The sequence below is a fragment of the Homo sapiens genome, chromosome 7, assembly GCF_000001405.40.
Source record: "Homo sapiens chromosome 7, GRCh38.p14 Primary Assembly".
Lineage (NCBI taxonomy): Eukaryota > Metazoa > Chordata > Mammalia > Primates > Hominidae > Homo > Homo sapiens.
Window position 1 is genome coordinate 103,727,564 of NC_000007.14, and position 16,886 is coordinate 103,744,449.

Sequence of the window (16,886 nt, forward strand, 5' to 3'; positions counted from 1 at the left end):
TAATCAATCTGAAGTAAAGGAAAATAATCTGCTTCTAAGTAATTTGAGATGAATCAAAATTTTTAAAAAACTGGTTTATTCAGCGTGCTCTTTCATGTAAAGAAAAATCCATCAGGTTCTTCTATGGCTATGAACCAAAGTTTTAAAATAAAGTGATAAAACTGAACATCTAACAGTTTTGACTTGCAAGGAGAAAATAAGGACAATTTTAAGAGCATGGCTTTATAGAAGAACTTAGAAGGTCATAAATTGTTTATTATGGATATTATAGCAAATACTCATATTTTTAAAAAGCCATCTAATCATAGTGATGTTCCATGTTTAATGATATCCATTGATGCTGACAATTTTATTACTGAATTATTTATTTTTACATCCAAAAATAGGCCATAGAATCACCCCTCCCAATTTTAAGATATTTGTAATAGGACTCATAAATCATATTTGAATTTTCATCTGAACTTTAAGAGCATAAGAAAAACTTTTGTTGGCAAAAAGCTCAGTAAATACTATAATGGAATAATGTACATGAATAGCACATACTTACCAGTTCTCGTGGGCCATATGGTTCACAGAAGGTGACGGCATTGCCATGCATAATCGCGCCACACTGTTCTCCAGTCTCACAGTTGTTACATTCAACCCTGCAGGAAAACAGAACACAGTCCCCGTCTGAGAACTAAGTAGCACACGTGGTTTACTGCTCAGGTAAGAAACGATATAATATTTATTGTTACTCAGCTCAAATCACCATTTTGAGGAAAGTAGGAGTATTTTGCATCATGATAAGGTTAAGAAGACCTGAAACCAGAAAGACTTGAACATAAATCTCAATTCTTTCAGTTACTTACAGTGGTGGGTAAGTTACTTAACCTTCCAAAGTTTCAGTTTCCTCACCTGTAAAACGAGGCTAACCATACTGATCTAAATCTCACATAGTTATTGTGAGGATGAAATGAGAGATTATATACAAAACACAGAATACAGAACCAATGTCATAGCAGGCATTTAATGAAAGATGATATTATAGTCAATAATTATATAATATATACATGCCCAATACAAGGACGTTTGCAAGTATTAAAAATAAGCAGAGTAATAGCCACTTACATAAAAACTTGTATCTCTGAAATTAAAAGGTGTTTTATACATTTTAAACATTTTTCTTTGGAGTTATGGTTAATGTAAATGTTTAAAATGACTGTCCTCAAACAAATCTGCATGTATACGTTCCACCATGCTAAAAACAATGAAATCAGATTGTATTTAATCCATGTATTAGTATGATATACACACAAATTCTAATTCAAGCACATTTTGGATACTGAGCTATTATGCTAACCTCACGAATAACGGAATTAGCTCCTATCTTTATACTATAAAACGAAGTGGTTATTAAAATCTTAGGACAGGATCTCAAAAATAAATTTATTCATATCTCTATCTAGCAGAGATTGAAGGTATGTGTATTCTGGACTTGACCTTGTATATTTACGGTAACATTTACAATTTTCTGCATTGTGACATTTCAACCTACAATCATTACATTCCTAACATGTAGAAATAAAGAGCAATGTTTCCCCTGTCTGAACCTCAAACCACATGAGAGCTATATTTCATGCAGAAAGAACATTTTCAAAGACTTTCACATTCCAGGTGCCAAACATTGCAGAAAGGGCACTATGCCCTTTGTTTAGGAGATTATTGTATTATACCCTTTCAGCCGTTTGTTAATTTTAAAGAAAAGGAGTAGAACACCCATCCAAATAGGAAGAAGACAAAAGTGTGAAAGGAGCGCATAAAGCCAGGAGGCAGAAACACTGCACGTCAAAAATTGGCAAAGAAATGAAAGTACTTCCTATATGTTTACCACATTGATTAAATGATATTATTTTCATCTTTTGAGCCGTGTTTCCACACAGAAGATCAACAGTGCCAAGTATTTTTCACATATTTTAGAAAAAACATAAATAAATTTGATACAGAATTTGAAATGTTAGTATCTCATAGCATCACAATTCTTAGGAGATTCAAATCTTCCCTTGGTTACTGTGAAGCAAGACATTAGAAGAGACAACAGCAGTAGCTTCGTAAGGACAATAAACCTGTCTCTTGTTCATCATTTATGGCATGTTCCTTTTGAGCACATTGTATTCCTGAAATATTTGTTGAATGAATAAATGCATATAAGACAACTTCATAAATATAACCATTTTAAAGGTCTGAGGTCTAAAGAACTTAGAATAGTGCCTGGCACATAGTAGGCATGATATAAGTGTTAGCTGTTATTATTGCTAAGAATTTCTCATGGATTTCCACCATTTTCCTCTACTCCAGAATTTTATATTAGGGTTTTTTTTTTCCATAGAGACTGTATTATGCAAATGACTTCTTACTACTTTTCTAATTCTTTAAACTGATTGGGATTGTGATAAAAGTACAGTGAAGTAGCACAAAATTTATAGTAGGCTCCTTACTTTAGTGAGAGATGAAGGTTATTTGGCCTCCAAGTCATTGTGAAATGGCTTAAGAGAAACATCAACTTTGACAGAGAAAAAAAGTAAAAGAATGTTCAAACCTCACAATGGCTATCTGCCATTTGTCTCCAGTGACTCTAAACTAAAAGTGTCACTGTTGATGTGAAATTTGAGGCCTGCTGTTTGAACTTCTACAGCAATCATTTTGTCCATAAATATTGCTCAGCAGTTTCCAAATCAACTATTTATCAAGAAAATATCTATATATAATATATGTATTACAAGCCCCCTCCTTCCATAGTTTCGCTTAAACAGAATTCAGGTAGAAACTGGATAACTGTATAAAAGTGATGGCCTACAGCCTGGAATTAGAGAACCAGTACCTAGATGACAGATGTTTGATGTCTTTGGAGAATCACTTCTATGTGGCAGAATAGCAGGGATTTAAAAAAAAAAACAATAAACACAAGACAAAAGAAAACAGATAAAGCTATTCTTCCCATTGAACTCAACAATCCACTAGACGCTTCTCTTCTTCATTGTGCTTTATAACCCCAGAAATTTATAACAAATGTAAAAAGGCATTGGTAACCCTGCTGAAGAAACTAAAAGATTTATAATTATCAGATATTACCCACTGTGTGGTTGCTACCTCCAGAAACAATGGCTTCACCAAGGACTGATGGGACAAATCAGTCCGATTTCTGCCAAGGTCTTTTAAATGTCCTTTACTTGAATTTCTCACAGTCTGACTGGGTTTGTCAACATAATTTATTTTAATTTACCCTGAATGCCCATCCCTCTAGGAGGTCAAATCCAACCCTCTCTTAGATGCCAATGGTGTTATTTATTCATCCATCATTTATTAATCCATTCTTGTATTTAACAAATTTAGGTTGAGGGCTCACAGGCACTGCACTAAGCTTTACTGATACAAGGACCAATGAAACACTTGTCTTTTCTTCTAGGAGCTTACGTTTCAAATGGAAAGGCAGAGAAGTAAACAAACAGTTACAATAGAGGGTGTCAATGCAATGATGCAATGATAGCTATTTACTGCATTCTATCATTGCTCTTCACTCATAACAGGAGCATACACTGGTTGCGATGGTACCTAATGCAGAGACTGGGGAAGTAAGAGAAAGCCTTCAAAGGAGATGGTCCCGGAACTGGTCCTGAATGAGAAACAGGAGTTACTCAAGCAAGGAAGAAAGATGAGTGTGTGATAGGGCACATACAATGCAGAAATTATGACACACAGCTGAACTGTTAGTTCAGTGGGTCAGTATGATGGAACCACATTGGTCCATGCAGAAAGGCAGCAAAGGATGTGTCTAGAAAGTGGCAACCACCTCACAAAGGCTTCATGTGCTGTTTACCATGTGATAGGTGCTGACAGAAGCTCTACAAACAATGCCCCAATTAATTGATACCAAATCCTCTCCTTCTATTTTTTTTTATCTCCACTTAGACGATGCTAGAACTGAGATTTAGAAATATTAAATTACTGTCCAAGGTTACACAGCTAGTCAATTGCAGAATTGGGAGTCAAACTCTAATTATTTTGTTTCCAAAGTCATGTGGCAAATCCAACTTTTAGAAAAATTACTATAGCAAATTATGGGCTGGAGGTAGAAAAGCCTGGGGGCTATTAATGTAACTCAAGTAAGATATAATGGTGCCTTGAAATAAGGTGGGATGGAGCAAAGTGGACACCTTCCACTGCTCTATAAAAACCTAATGTAAGCCACTTTTTTCATTTTCCACTTCTAATGGTTGCATTAAAAAGAAACATTAATTTTAACAAGATGTTTTATTTAACTCAATATATTCAATTATATTTTCACATGTAAGTAATATAAAAATTATTAATTACAATGTTTACATTTTTAAATACTGTCTTCAAATTATGGGGTGTATTCTATGCTTACAGCACATCTCAATTCAGACTAGCCACATTTCAAGTGTTCCACAGCCGTATGTGACTAGTGCCTACCATGTTGGACAATACAACTCTAGAGAATTAGAGGGCTTGGAAACTGCCTGCTTTTTAGTTACACTGAAAATTGGAGATGATCAGCTGAACTTTCAGAGAAAGGAGATTGGGACTGATATGACAGTTTAGGATATAGTTGAAATCATGGGAGTGTATATCTTTAGGGTCCTCGGGATAAGGGAGGATATACAAAGTAAGAAGAGAAAAGGTCCAAGAATGAATCCCTGGGGAACAATCAGATTGCCCATGGGCTAGTTTCTGGAAAGCTCAAACCATCATCATAATCCTTCAGTGTGTATCAATCCAAGTGTATCTCCATTTACTTCCCCATAATTATTGGTGGTGGGGTTCATTTCTATGCATGTTCTTAATCTGTGCTGCCCATTAAGGTGATCTTCCTAATATTTTTTTCTATCAATAAAGTATTGTACAACTACACATATGAATGCCATTATGATAAAGGGAAAGATAAATCATAATTTCATGATGAACACAATGATCCTAATGGAGACAAGGCAAGACCGTACAGAAGGCAACTGGTGGTCATGGCTTCCAAGAAGAGAATAGTGATCCATGTGAAAGACGAGATGAATTTTAAAAACTTATGGATATAAATAAACATTCAAATTCCAAGGAAAGTAATTCCTGGCTTACCCCAGAATTTGAAACAATACTTAAATGCATAAGTGCTCTTTCAGTCCTACCCTCCTCACTTTCTCAGAATGCCTCTGTGTCTAACAATTTAACTTGGTTGAGTGCAGTGAGGTATTTAACCCCCAAAAATGTTCTCTATAAGTAGGTTGCGAAAATTTTCTCCCATTTGTAGGTTGCCTGTTCACTCTGATGGTAGTTTCTTTTGCTGTGCAGAAGCTCTTTAGTTTAATTAGATCCCATTTGTCAATTTTGTCTTTTGTTGCCATTGCTTTTGGTGTTTTAGACATGAAGTCCTTGCCCATGCCTATGTCCTGAATGGTAATGCCTAGGTTTTCTTCTAGGGTTTTTATGGTTTTAGGTCTAACGTTTAAGACTCTACAATGAACTCAAACAAATTTACAAGAAAAAAACAAACAACCCCATCAAAAAGTGGGCGAAGGACATGAACAGACACTTCTTAAAAGAAGACATTTATGCAGCTAAAAAACACATGAAAGAATGCTCATCATCACTGGCCATCAGAGAAATGCAAATCAAAACCACAATGAGATACCATCTCACACCAGTTAGAATGGCAATCATTAAAAAGTCAGGAAACAACAGGTGCTGGAGAGGATGTGGAGAAATAGGAACACTTTTACACTGTAGGTGGGACTGTAAACTAGTTCAACCATTGTGGAAGTCAGTGTGGCGATTCCTCAGGGATCTAGAACAAGAAATACCATTTGACCCAGCCATCCCATTACTGGGTATATACCCAAAGGACTATAAATCATGCTGCTATAAAGACACATGCACATGTATGTTTATTGTGGCATTATTCACAATAGCAAAGACTTGGAACCAACACAAATGTCCAACAATGACAGACTGGATTAAGAAAATGTGGCACATATACACCATGGAATACTATGCAGCCATAAAAAATGATGAGTTCATGTCCTTTGTAGGGACATGGATGAAATTTGAAATCATCATTCTCAGTAAACTATCTCAAGAACAAAAAACCAAACACCACATATTCTCACTCATAGGTGGGAATTGAACAATGAGATCACATGGACACAGGAAGGGGAACATCACACTCTGGGGACTGTTGTGGGGTGGGGGGAGTGGGGAGGGATAGCATTGGGAGATATACCTAATGCTAGATGACGAGTTAGTGGGTGCAGCGCACCAGCATGGCACATGTATACGTATGTAACTAACCTGCACAATGTGCACATGTACCCTAAAACTTAAAGTATAATAAAAAAAAATGTTCTCTATAAAGACCACAAGTAATCTGAAATTCTACTCTTCCTTTATGGAAAAGTTCTATGAGTTCCTAAGAACTAGGATTTCATTTGCGGGATAATGAGTGGTTCAATTTTCTTTAGGCTCAGTGCAAAACAAAAACAAAAACAAAAACTACTGTTGTTTATTGCCGACGTATAAATCTGTAACCTCACAATTAAATGTTTTCCACTTTCTCATGTTCTCAGGAAAATGTTGGGCTTTGTAAAGTTAGGTAACATATTCTTCAGAGATTTGTGGGAAGAAGGAAGTTTTCAATAATCCCAGTTAAACAGACTTCTGTTGTTCAATTTGAAAAGGAATGTGACCTCTCAACCTAAGGATCAGAAATGAATTGCTTCTCTGCCTAATAGTAAAAGTAATACTAAATGTTTCTGTAATCTAAGAATGCTTTTCCCCTTTTATATTTCCCAATATGAAAAACAGAACATAAGAATCTGACAAATACCTTGGCGTATCATATGGATTGTCCACCTCAAAAATATATTTTGCCATGAACAATATGATTAAAAGACATTTTAAGGGAAATGCTAGCAATCCTCAAAAACCATTGAAAGCTTGAACTTATTAAACCTTCTCTGAACCAATTTATCACATGCTTAGGTTCCACATGAAGCTTATCTATTACTTGAGTTTACAGATCATCAAGTGAGAGGGGACTTGAAATATCACTGCATCTCATCACTCCCTCATGATGATGAAACAGGACTAGAATTCAGGTTGCCTGATTTCTTATCCAATATTGTTTGCGTTCTGCCTAATGCAGCTAGTGAGGGAAAAATTCCAATTCTATAAAAACAATGTGCATTTCAAGGAATGTTTATCATTTTGACGGTGAACATTTATTTTGAAAATTTACAATAACTTTTCTTAAAAACTGTTTTTTCAATTATAGGGTAATTTTTTTGTTTTTCTGATAAAAATGTACAAAAAGTAGAGCGATGAGTGGACTTCATAAAAAACATTAACAGTGAATTCACTGGGCTGAAGTACACGACAATCATATTCAGTACCCCTTTGGCTATATATATTCTTAGATAATTCATCACAATCTATTTTATATGTACACCATCTCTTTTTTTTCACTAACAAAAACATAAAAGAATCAGTAAATATAAAGACTGGTACTTGCTGACCAAAAAAACTAGGATCAAACCATAAACATAAAAGAAAAAGAAAGGCTTTGAACCAGTGTTTTGTCTTCCACTGTAACAAGCTCCTTGGTAGATTGCAAGCTTGTTATTTTGTTATTAGTTCTCTATTTTTTATTTATTTATTATTCAGGTGGCTGTTTTTTTTCATGGGACAAAGTATTACATATGATGGTACCTTTGAACAGTAGAGAGTATACTTCTGAAGATATAACTGGGTTTTTTAATCCTGATTTTTAAATTATTAGGCATGAAAATATGCTCAACCACCCATTCATTGGGCACAGAGGAAGATGAAGTGAAATGTCCCTGTAGTCTGGGGTCCCCACATAGCAGTGACTCAGACGGGCTCTCAGGATGCAGGAAAGAGGAGGAGGATGAATGAGAAAATTGAGCTCCTTTGCACAACCAGAGATTTATGAATGGTTGGTGGTGACATCATCTTGATAACAATAAATAACTGAAATATTGTTTTCTCAAGAGCAGTCTAATGGCATGACTCATTCTTTTTAGATCACAGTGAAATCACTCAGCCTGTAGTCAGGTACTCTGCTGAAGCAAGTTAATCACCTAGAAACTCACTGACAGTCAGTTATCATCAAATTATCATTTGAGATACATGTAATTTGTCCCCAAGACCAAGGACATCATATTATCTCTCCATAATGTATTGCCACTGAAGGAGTCAGTGTCTGACGATCAGCTCCACCAGAAGCAATCTGGCATTCTATAAGCTTGCATTTCTGAGCCACATTCACCAGTATTTCTGAATGGAGATAGTCAGATAATTTTAACTTTTGTTCTGATTACTTAAAGTTCTTTAAAACCGAAAAAGGAAAAGAAAAGTTTCTTGTAATTTCCTGACCCAAAGATAATGTGTCTGCACCCCCAGGTACGGATCACACTGCCTGTGCTAAGAAGAATCTGAGGTGTGAACTTGCAAAGCAAGGCCAAATCAAGGAATGATGAATTCATCAAAGTAAATCAGACCTTGCCGGCCATTTGGTAGCTGGGCTGTCAGCTGACTTATTCCGAGACACTAGAACTCTTTGTACCTTCCATTCAAACCTCAACAACCAAATACTCAACTTCTGACCATATTTTACAATATAGCTGTTTTATAATAAAGAGGGCATGACCATTACACCTGTAAGCAATTTACATGATCATTTTCAAGAAATGAAAGATCAAGCTTAATTTTTTTTAAATCCTATCCTCTTTGTAAATGTGGAATCTTTTTAGAGAAACAGCAAGGAAAGTTCATTGTATAAGACTGAGAATATTACCTTCAACTATGTCATGTCTTTTTTTCTAAGGAGCTAACACATACTGTAAATGCGAAAATGACAAACTCCATTTATAGCTCATTCTTTCTCATTACTTTTCACTGAGGAAGGTAAGATAACTCTTCTTATTTCTCTAGGGAGTTAAAAAATTCGATCTCGTCTTCATTAACAGGTACGAATGACAAACGTTATTTGGGTTAAAAATAACACCTCTAAAATCTTACTACTGCACACAATATTCTGACCTCCTACTATGGTAAATTCCACTACATGCTGCTTGAAGAAATATTTTCTTACTTGTTTCAAATGTACTTGACATTTAATTCCTTTGAGTGAGCTCTTGTTTTTGCCACCTAAAGCAGAAATTAAACAAGGAAGTAATAAACCTCTAGATTCACACCTTATTTTATTAGTTGGACACCCCCTGGTTAACCTTTCTATTGTAGATGAAGCTTTTCCCTGGAGCAATTACATCATGATAGAAAAAGAGGGGAATGAGGGGGAGGAAGCTAGAGAGGAAACTCAGAGAAGAGTTTTGTAATAAGAGAAAAAAGTTATTAACAAAAGAGAAGAAAAAGTAAGAGAGAGCAGAAAGTGGTGAAGAAATCAAGAGGGAGGAGGTTAGAGAAAAAGTAGAGAAAGATTCATATATGATCAAAATAGTGAACCATTAAACTCCAAATATTAAATGATAATTCCATAACCTGAAAATGCACAGATATACGAGAGGTTCTGGCAAGGGTATGTCATCAGAGAAAATATTTATTGTGTCTGATTTTTTTCATCTATTCACCATCTCCTGTAGCCACTTGCTGTTGAGAAAATGAAAGGTTTATGCTCCCTTTCACCAGCACTGCCTTTCCGGCTCACTGCCCATGGGCGTGTTGGACACTGAGCAAAGTGGAGATACTTTTATTATCCAATTTATTTCTCAGTTGTTTGTTCATCAGTCTTACTTCTTTCTGATTACCTAGAAAATCCACTTATATTGTAGTTCTCACACTTGGCTACTAAATGGAGGAGTCTTCTGTTTTTTATTATTTATGGCATGGGGGTTGTCCAAGATACTAATGAACTATAAAGTGGTTTTACTGCTTGTTTGACTTCTTTTCGTTTGTGGGCTAAGCTATTATTAAATAAAGTTCCAGCTAGAATAACTCACCCATCATCTTGAAATCTCAGTATTTCTATACTATTTGTTCAGACAATTATGTTTCTCAAAGGAATTTTAGTAAGCCAAATCACCAATCTTTTTCCTTATTTCATATTAATTGCTCCAACAAATTAGTATTTTCAGGAGAATACCAGATGCAGCAGAGTCTGTGATCGCTATTTCCCCGGTCCTGTAATATTGTCATTTACATATGAAAATGGAAATGTTCTAGTCTTTTCTTGATTCTAGCAATCCAATGCAATGCCAATCATGGCTTTAGCTTCCTTTGTTGTAAATTGTGGACCTTTCTGTATCATTATCCAACTGATGGAGGTCTTCTTGTACCACAGGACCTGAAACAACTTTATTTGTGGCTTTCTTGATGTTTCACATCTCTGTTGGCATCACAACCCAGTCATCTAAGATGCTATTTCTGAGGAGTAACTCCTGTTCTTCCCTGATCTCTGCTGAGTAGGACATCTCTGCTATTATTATTGTTCTATCATTGTGCTGGAGGGGAAACATCTGTTGTCATCTAGTTGCCAGTTATCATTGTGTTTTTTAATAGTTCTACATTTCCCACTAGAACATCAGAGCCTGGTGATATTAGAGCTCTGGATGCCTTCTGTGATCTTCGGAAAATAAGCATTAAAGGGATAACTTAAGTAAAACAAAGATCCTCTCTGACTTTGTAATTGCTTAAAGGGTAAAACTCTTCTTGAGAAAACTAAAATCCATTCATGTTTTAGTTCCTTTGCAGTCTCTCTCTGTCTCAAGTTATGAACCAGAAATATCTCCTATGTCTTATTTTTTTCATTGCCTTTCTTCTTATTGAAATTTTTACTGAGGGAAATTTACACACAATGAGATACGCAGATCTCAGGTTCTGAAAATGCATCCATCTATGTAACCCACATCCTCTCATGATATACAACATAATCATCACCCCAGAGAGGTGCCTCATGCCCTTTACCAGTCAACTCTCTGTCCCCGAAACAACTACTGATCTTATTTCTATCATGTTAACTTTGCCTAATCTGGATTTCATACAACTGGAATGAACTCTTGGGTCTGGCATCTTTCCTTCCTTCCTTCCTTTTTTTTTTTTTTTTTTTTTTTTTTTTTGAGACAGAGGCTCACTCTGTCACCAGGCTGGAGTGCAGTGGCATTATCTCGGCTCACTGCAACCTCCGCCTCCTGGGTTCAAGTGATTCTCCTCCCTCAGCCTCCCGAGTAGCTGGGACTACAGCTGCATGCCATCATGCCCAGCTAATTTTTGTATTTTTCATAGAGACAGGGTTTCACCACGTTGGCCAGGATGGTCTTGATATCTTGACCTTGTGATCCATCTGCCTTGGCCTCCTAAAGTGTTCAGATTACAGGCGTGAGCCATTGTGCCTGGCCTGGCATCTTTTCATTCAACTTAAAATTTTTGAGATTCATCCATGTTGTTGCGACTGACAATAATTCATTCCTCTTTATTGCCGAATGTTAATAGTATTCAATTGTGTGCACATATCACTGTGGTGTATCCATCCTCCTGTTGATGAACACCTGGGATGATTCTAGTTTTTGGCTGTTAGGTATAATTATTTTTCAAAAAAATCAAGAATTTCCCCATTCACATAAAATACTGGCACTGTTTATATTATAGTGCAATAATTTAATTCATAAAAAGAAACTATGGATATGTAGTTGATGTTCAATAGTAGCTGCATAAGTAAAGTGTTAATAAAATACGACGTATTTGTGGTCCCTTACATTCTTCTGAATTTAGTTATACGAGGTTTTCCTTCCCATTTTGTTGGGGGAGGTTTTGGAGGGTTGTTGCTGTATGACTAAGACACTATTGATGCCCTCTGTCATCAGTAGTGCAGCCACATTGAACACACTTGCTAACAGCACTGGTAAAGTGGTATTCATTCATTTGTGCTCTCCCTCACCCTCTTGGGTTCAATGGCACATTGGAATTGATGCAATTCATGTTGAGCTCCAGAGGTATAGTGCTTGTGGTCCAGGGTAAAGTGCAGAAGCTTCATTCTCATCAAGGTTGAGCTACCATTATATTCACATGAAGGGATTTTGTTACTCTCTTCACTTCAAACTTCACTTCTCATCTCTCATTCAAACAAGTCAATCAGCAGCCGCTGGGGGAGTGGGGATATGAAGGGCCACTTCCCTAGCAAAGCCCCAGAGAGATCTAGGAGGCAAAGAGTAGAAGGAATCTATGCTCTGCATATGAAGGAGGCAGAAGGACCAGAGTTGCACAATTGCACACCAGAGTACAGCACAGAAAAGATGCCCATGGCCCAGGACTGGGAACAGCAGAACAGTCTCCATGCCCTCAGGCTGGGCTCAAAACAGAACCACTGCTCAGAAACAGTGGTGAGGACAGGGACAAAGCCGGGCTGTGTGGACTAGTCACCAGACTAGATGAGATAATGGAAGATTCAGTGGATATCTGCAGGAACAGATAGATGGCTGGGGACCAGAGGTGCATCCTCATTCTACCTTCTACCTTTGCACTAATAAGACACCTGACACTTAGCTCAAAAACAAACAAAAAAAAATAGAAGAGACAAGCCAGAGTTGACTGAAATTAAGTTTCCACCAACATGGTAGGAGGAGGAGAATATAAAGAAATTAGGTTGGGTTATGGAAGAATAAAGAAAGTTTTATTTCTCTGATACTCAAGTTTCTGGACAGAATTCATAACTGCTACACTTGTGTAAGCATGAACAATTTCCAGAAGGACTCACAGAAACTATTACCCAAGTTGTTGACCCTGGAGAAAGAATAAAGGTCTAATGTGGGAAGGAGGCTTACTTTTACTGCTTATATTTTTGGATTATTTGAAATTTTAACCACATAAATTTTTAAATTTTTAAATAATTTGAAATATTCAAACTGAACAGATAGTACATTCAATATTGAGTTGACATAAAAAACATTTCTTATTTCTATTCCAACTGTCATAAAAAACTTGGAAGAGTAACTTATCTGTTACCTTTATTTATAATATCATTTTATGTTCCTCATTTTTTATGTACATGTACAGTCATTAGTAAATGAGATAAACTTGAATATTAAAGAATTATGTGAGATAGAATTAAAAGTTGAATTCATTAGGTGAAGTTAATGGAAGTAAATACATTGTGAGTGTTTTAACTTTTAAATTGACCTACCTCTCTAAGATTGTACAGACATAACTAGTTTCTTAATTTCTCTTTTGCTTAACAATAAGAAGTACAGAGTAAATAATTCACATAAAGCTTTTAGAATCCCAGGGGGAAAATATGCTCTTATAAGTAGCACATTTTTTCTTTTGAGGTAAATTATTTGGTGGTGTATTCAGTTATGGGAATTTGGCTAAATGCAGCATACCCAGGCACTTTGCTTCTATCTGGTGGTGTGTGGCAGTGGCATAGGGACCATGTTTGCCACAAGGATTCCCTTTTCCATACTGTTACAAAGCTCCACTGGGTTTCTGACTCTTTTCTGGGGTAAAGAGAATCAAAGACAATATTATAAGGGACAAAACTCAAGTGACAAAACATGTAGCAAGAAAATAGAAGCTTTGGGAGAGTTAAAACTGCTTATCAGTTTCCAAAACAAACTGGGGCTTTGTTAGTTTATTGGAAATATTTCATGGGGATATCTGATTTCACTAGATGCTTGTTTCTGACTTTAGGAAGTTTACATTGACTTCTAAGGGGTTCGAGACATCTAACACCTTATTTTTCCCTCCTTTATGATGTTGCTGTAATGCTATTTTCATCAATATATATTCCATAGATTTTATAATATAAATATATTTAATTTGGCATTTGTTTTTTATGAAAATGCAATGAAGGAAGACTTGGGGACTCAGTTAAATAAATTAGCTTAAGATTATTTTAATAATAATAATGTTTTAATCATGTCTGGGCTTAGAAGGGATAGTCTAATGTACAAATATATCACAAGAGAAAAAAAGGAGGATGGGAGGGAAGAAGGAAGAAAAGGAGGGTGAGGGGAAGTAAAAGTGGGAGAGAAAAGAGAAGAGGGAGGAGAGGGAACGGGAGAGGAAGAGATGAAAGCAAGAGAAAGGGAAGAAGGGAAGGGAAAAGACAGGGAGGGAGGGAAAGAGAGGAAGGCAGAGACGAAAGTGATGGGTATTGAGCACCTAGAATACACTAGACCTCTTCACACTGCAACTGTAATACAATGCTGCAAGAAGATATTTGAGGGGGAGAAGAGCCAAGATGGCCGAATAGGAACAGCTCCGGTCTACAGCTCCCAGCGTGAGCGACGCAGAAGATGGGTGATTTCTGCATTTCCAAGTGAGCTTTGAAGAGAGTAGTGGTTCTCCCCGCACGCAGCTTGAGATCTGAGAACGGGCAGACTGACTCCTCAAGTGGGTCCCTCACCACCGAGGAGCCTAACTGGGAGGCACCCCCCAGTAGGGGCGGACTGACACCGCACACGGCCAGGTACTCCTCTGAGACAAAACTTCCACAGGAACGATCAGGCAGCAACATTTGAGGTTCACCAATATTTGCTGTTCTGCAGCCACCGCTGCTGATACCCAGGCAAACAGGGTCTGGAGTGGACGTCTAGCAAACTCCAACAGACCTGCAGCTAAGGGTCCTGTCTGTTAGAAGGAAAACTAACAAACAGAAAGGACATCCACACCAAAAACCCATCTGTACGTCACCATCATCAAAGACCAAAGGTAGCTAAAACCACAAAGATGGGAAAAAAACAGAGCAGAAAAACCGGAAACTCTAAAAATCAGAGCGCCTCTCCTCCTCCAAAGGAACGCAGCTCCTCACCAGTAACGGAACAAAACTGGATGGAGAATGACTTTGACAAGTTGACAGAAGAAGGCTTCAGACGATCAAACTACTCCAAGCTACAGGAGGAAATTCAAACCAATGGCAAAGAAGTTAAAAGCTTTGAAAAAAAATCAGACGAATGGATAACTAGAATAACCAATGCAGAGAAGTCCTTAAAGGAGCTGATGGAGCTGAAAACCAAGGCACGAGAGCTACATGACGAATGCAGAAGCCTCAGTAGCCAATGCGATCAACTGGAAGAAAGGGTATCAGTGATGGAAGATGAAATGAATGAAATGAAGCGAGAAGAGAAGTTTAGAGAAAGAATAAAAAGAAACGAACAAATCCTCTAAGAAATATGGGACTATGTGAAAAGACCAAATCTACGTCTGACTGGTGTACCTGAAGTGACGGGGAGAATGGAACCCAGCTGGAAAACACTCTGCAGGATATTATCCAGGAGAACTTCCCCAATCTAGCAAGGCAGGCCAACATTCAAATTCAGGAAATACAGAGAATGCCACAAAGATACTCCTCGAGAAGAGCAACTGCAAGACACATAATTGTCAGATTCACCAAAGTTGAAATAAAGGAAAAAATGTTAAGGGCAGCCAGAGAGAAAGGTCGGGTTACCCACAAAGGGAAGCCCATCAGACTAACAGCTGATCTCTCAGCAGAAACTCTCCAAGCCAGAAGAGAGTGGGGGCCAATATTCAACATTCTTAAAGAAAAGAATTTTCAACCCAGAATTTCATATCCAGCCAAACTAAGCTTCATAAGTGAAGGAGAAATAAAATACTTTACAGACAAGCAAATGCTGAGAGATTTTGTCACTACCAGGCCTGACCTAAAAGAGTTCCTGAAGGAGGTACTAAACATGGAAAGGAACAACCGGTACCAGCCACTGCAAAAACATGCCAAATTGTAAAGAACATCAAGGCTAGGAAGAAACTGCACCAACTAACAAGCAAAATAACCAGCTAACATCATAATGACAGAATCAAGTTCACACATAACAATATTAACCTTAAATGTAAACGGGCTAAATGCTCCAATTAAAAGACACAGACTGGCAAATTGGATAAAGACTCAAGACCCATCAGTGTGCTGTATTCAGGAAACCCATCTCACGTGCAGAGACATACATAGGCTCAAAATAAAGGGATGGAGGAAGATCTACCAAGCAAATGGAAAACCAAAAAAGGCAGGGGTTGCAATCGTAGTCTCAGAAAAAACAGACTTTAAACCAACAAAGATCAAAAGAGACAAAGAAGGACGTTACATAATGGTAAAGGGATCAATTCAACAAGAAGAGCTAACTATCCTAAATATATATGCACCCAATACAGGAGCACCCAGATTCATAAAGCAAGTCCTGAGTGACCTACAAAGAGACTTAGACTCCCACACAATAATTATGGGAGACTTTAACACCCCACTGTCAACATTAGACAGATCAACAAGACAGAAAGTTAACAAGGATACCCAGGAATTGAATTCAGCTATGCACCAAGCAGACCTAATAGACATCTACAGAACTCTCCACCCCAAATCAACAGAATATACATTCTTTTCAGCACCACACCACACCTATTCCAAAATTGACCACATAGTTGGAAGTAAAGCACTCCTCAGCAAATGTAAAAGAACAGAAATTATAATAAACTGTCTCTCAGACCACAGTGCAATCAAACTAGAACTCAGGATTAAGAAACTCACTCAAAACCGCTCAACTACATGGAAACTGAACAACCTGCTCCTGAATGACTACTGGGTAAATAATGAAATGAAGGCAGAAATAAAGATGTTCTTTGAAACCAATGAGAACAAAGACACAACATACCAGAATCTCTGGGACACATTCAAAGCAGTGTGTAGATGGAAATTTATAGCACTAAATGCCCACAAGAGAAAGCAGGAAAGATCCAAAATTGACACCCTAACATCACAATTAAAAGAACTAGAAAAGCAAGAGCAAACACATTCAAAAGCTAGCAGAAGGCAAGAAATAACTAAAATCAGAGCAGAACGGAAGGAAATGGAGACACAAAAAAAC

The 16,886-nt window shown here is 37.2% G+C and overlaps 1 protein-coding gene across 2 annotated transcripts in view; it reads right to left on the minus strand.

Moving 5' to 3' along the window:
* Window positions 1-16,886, minus strand: part of RELN (reelin) — a 517,870-nt gene that overhangs the window by 255,775 nt on the left and 245,209 nt on the right. For both annotated transcript variants that reach the window (NM_173054.3, NM_005045.4), the window contains exon 7: window positions 548-644. In NM_173054.3, the coding sequence (NP_774959.1) occupies window positions 548-644 (97 nt within the window). The remainder of the gene's footprint in view (window positions 1-547; window positions 645-16,886) is intronic.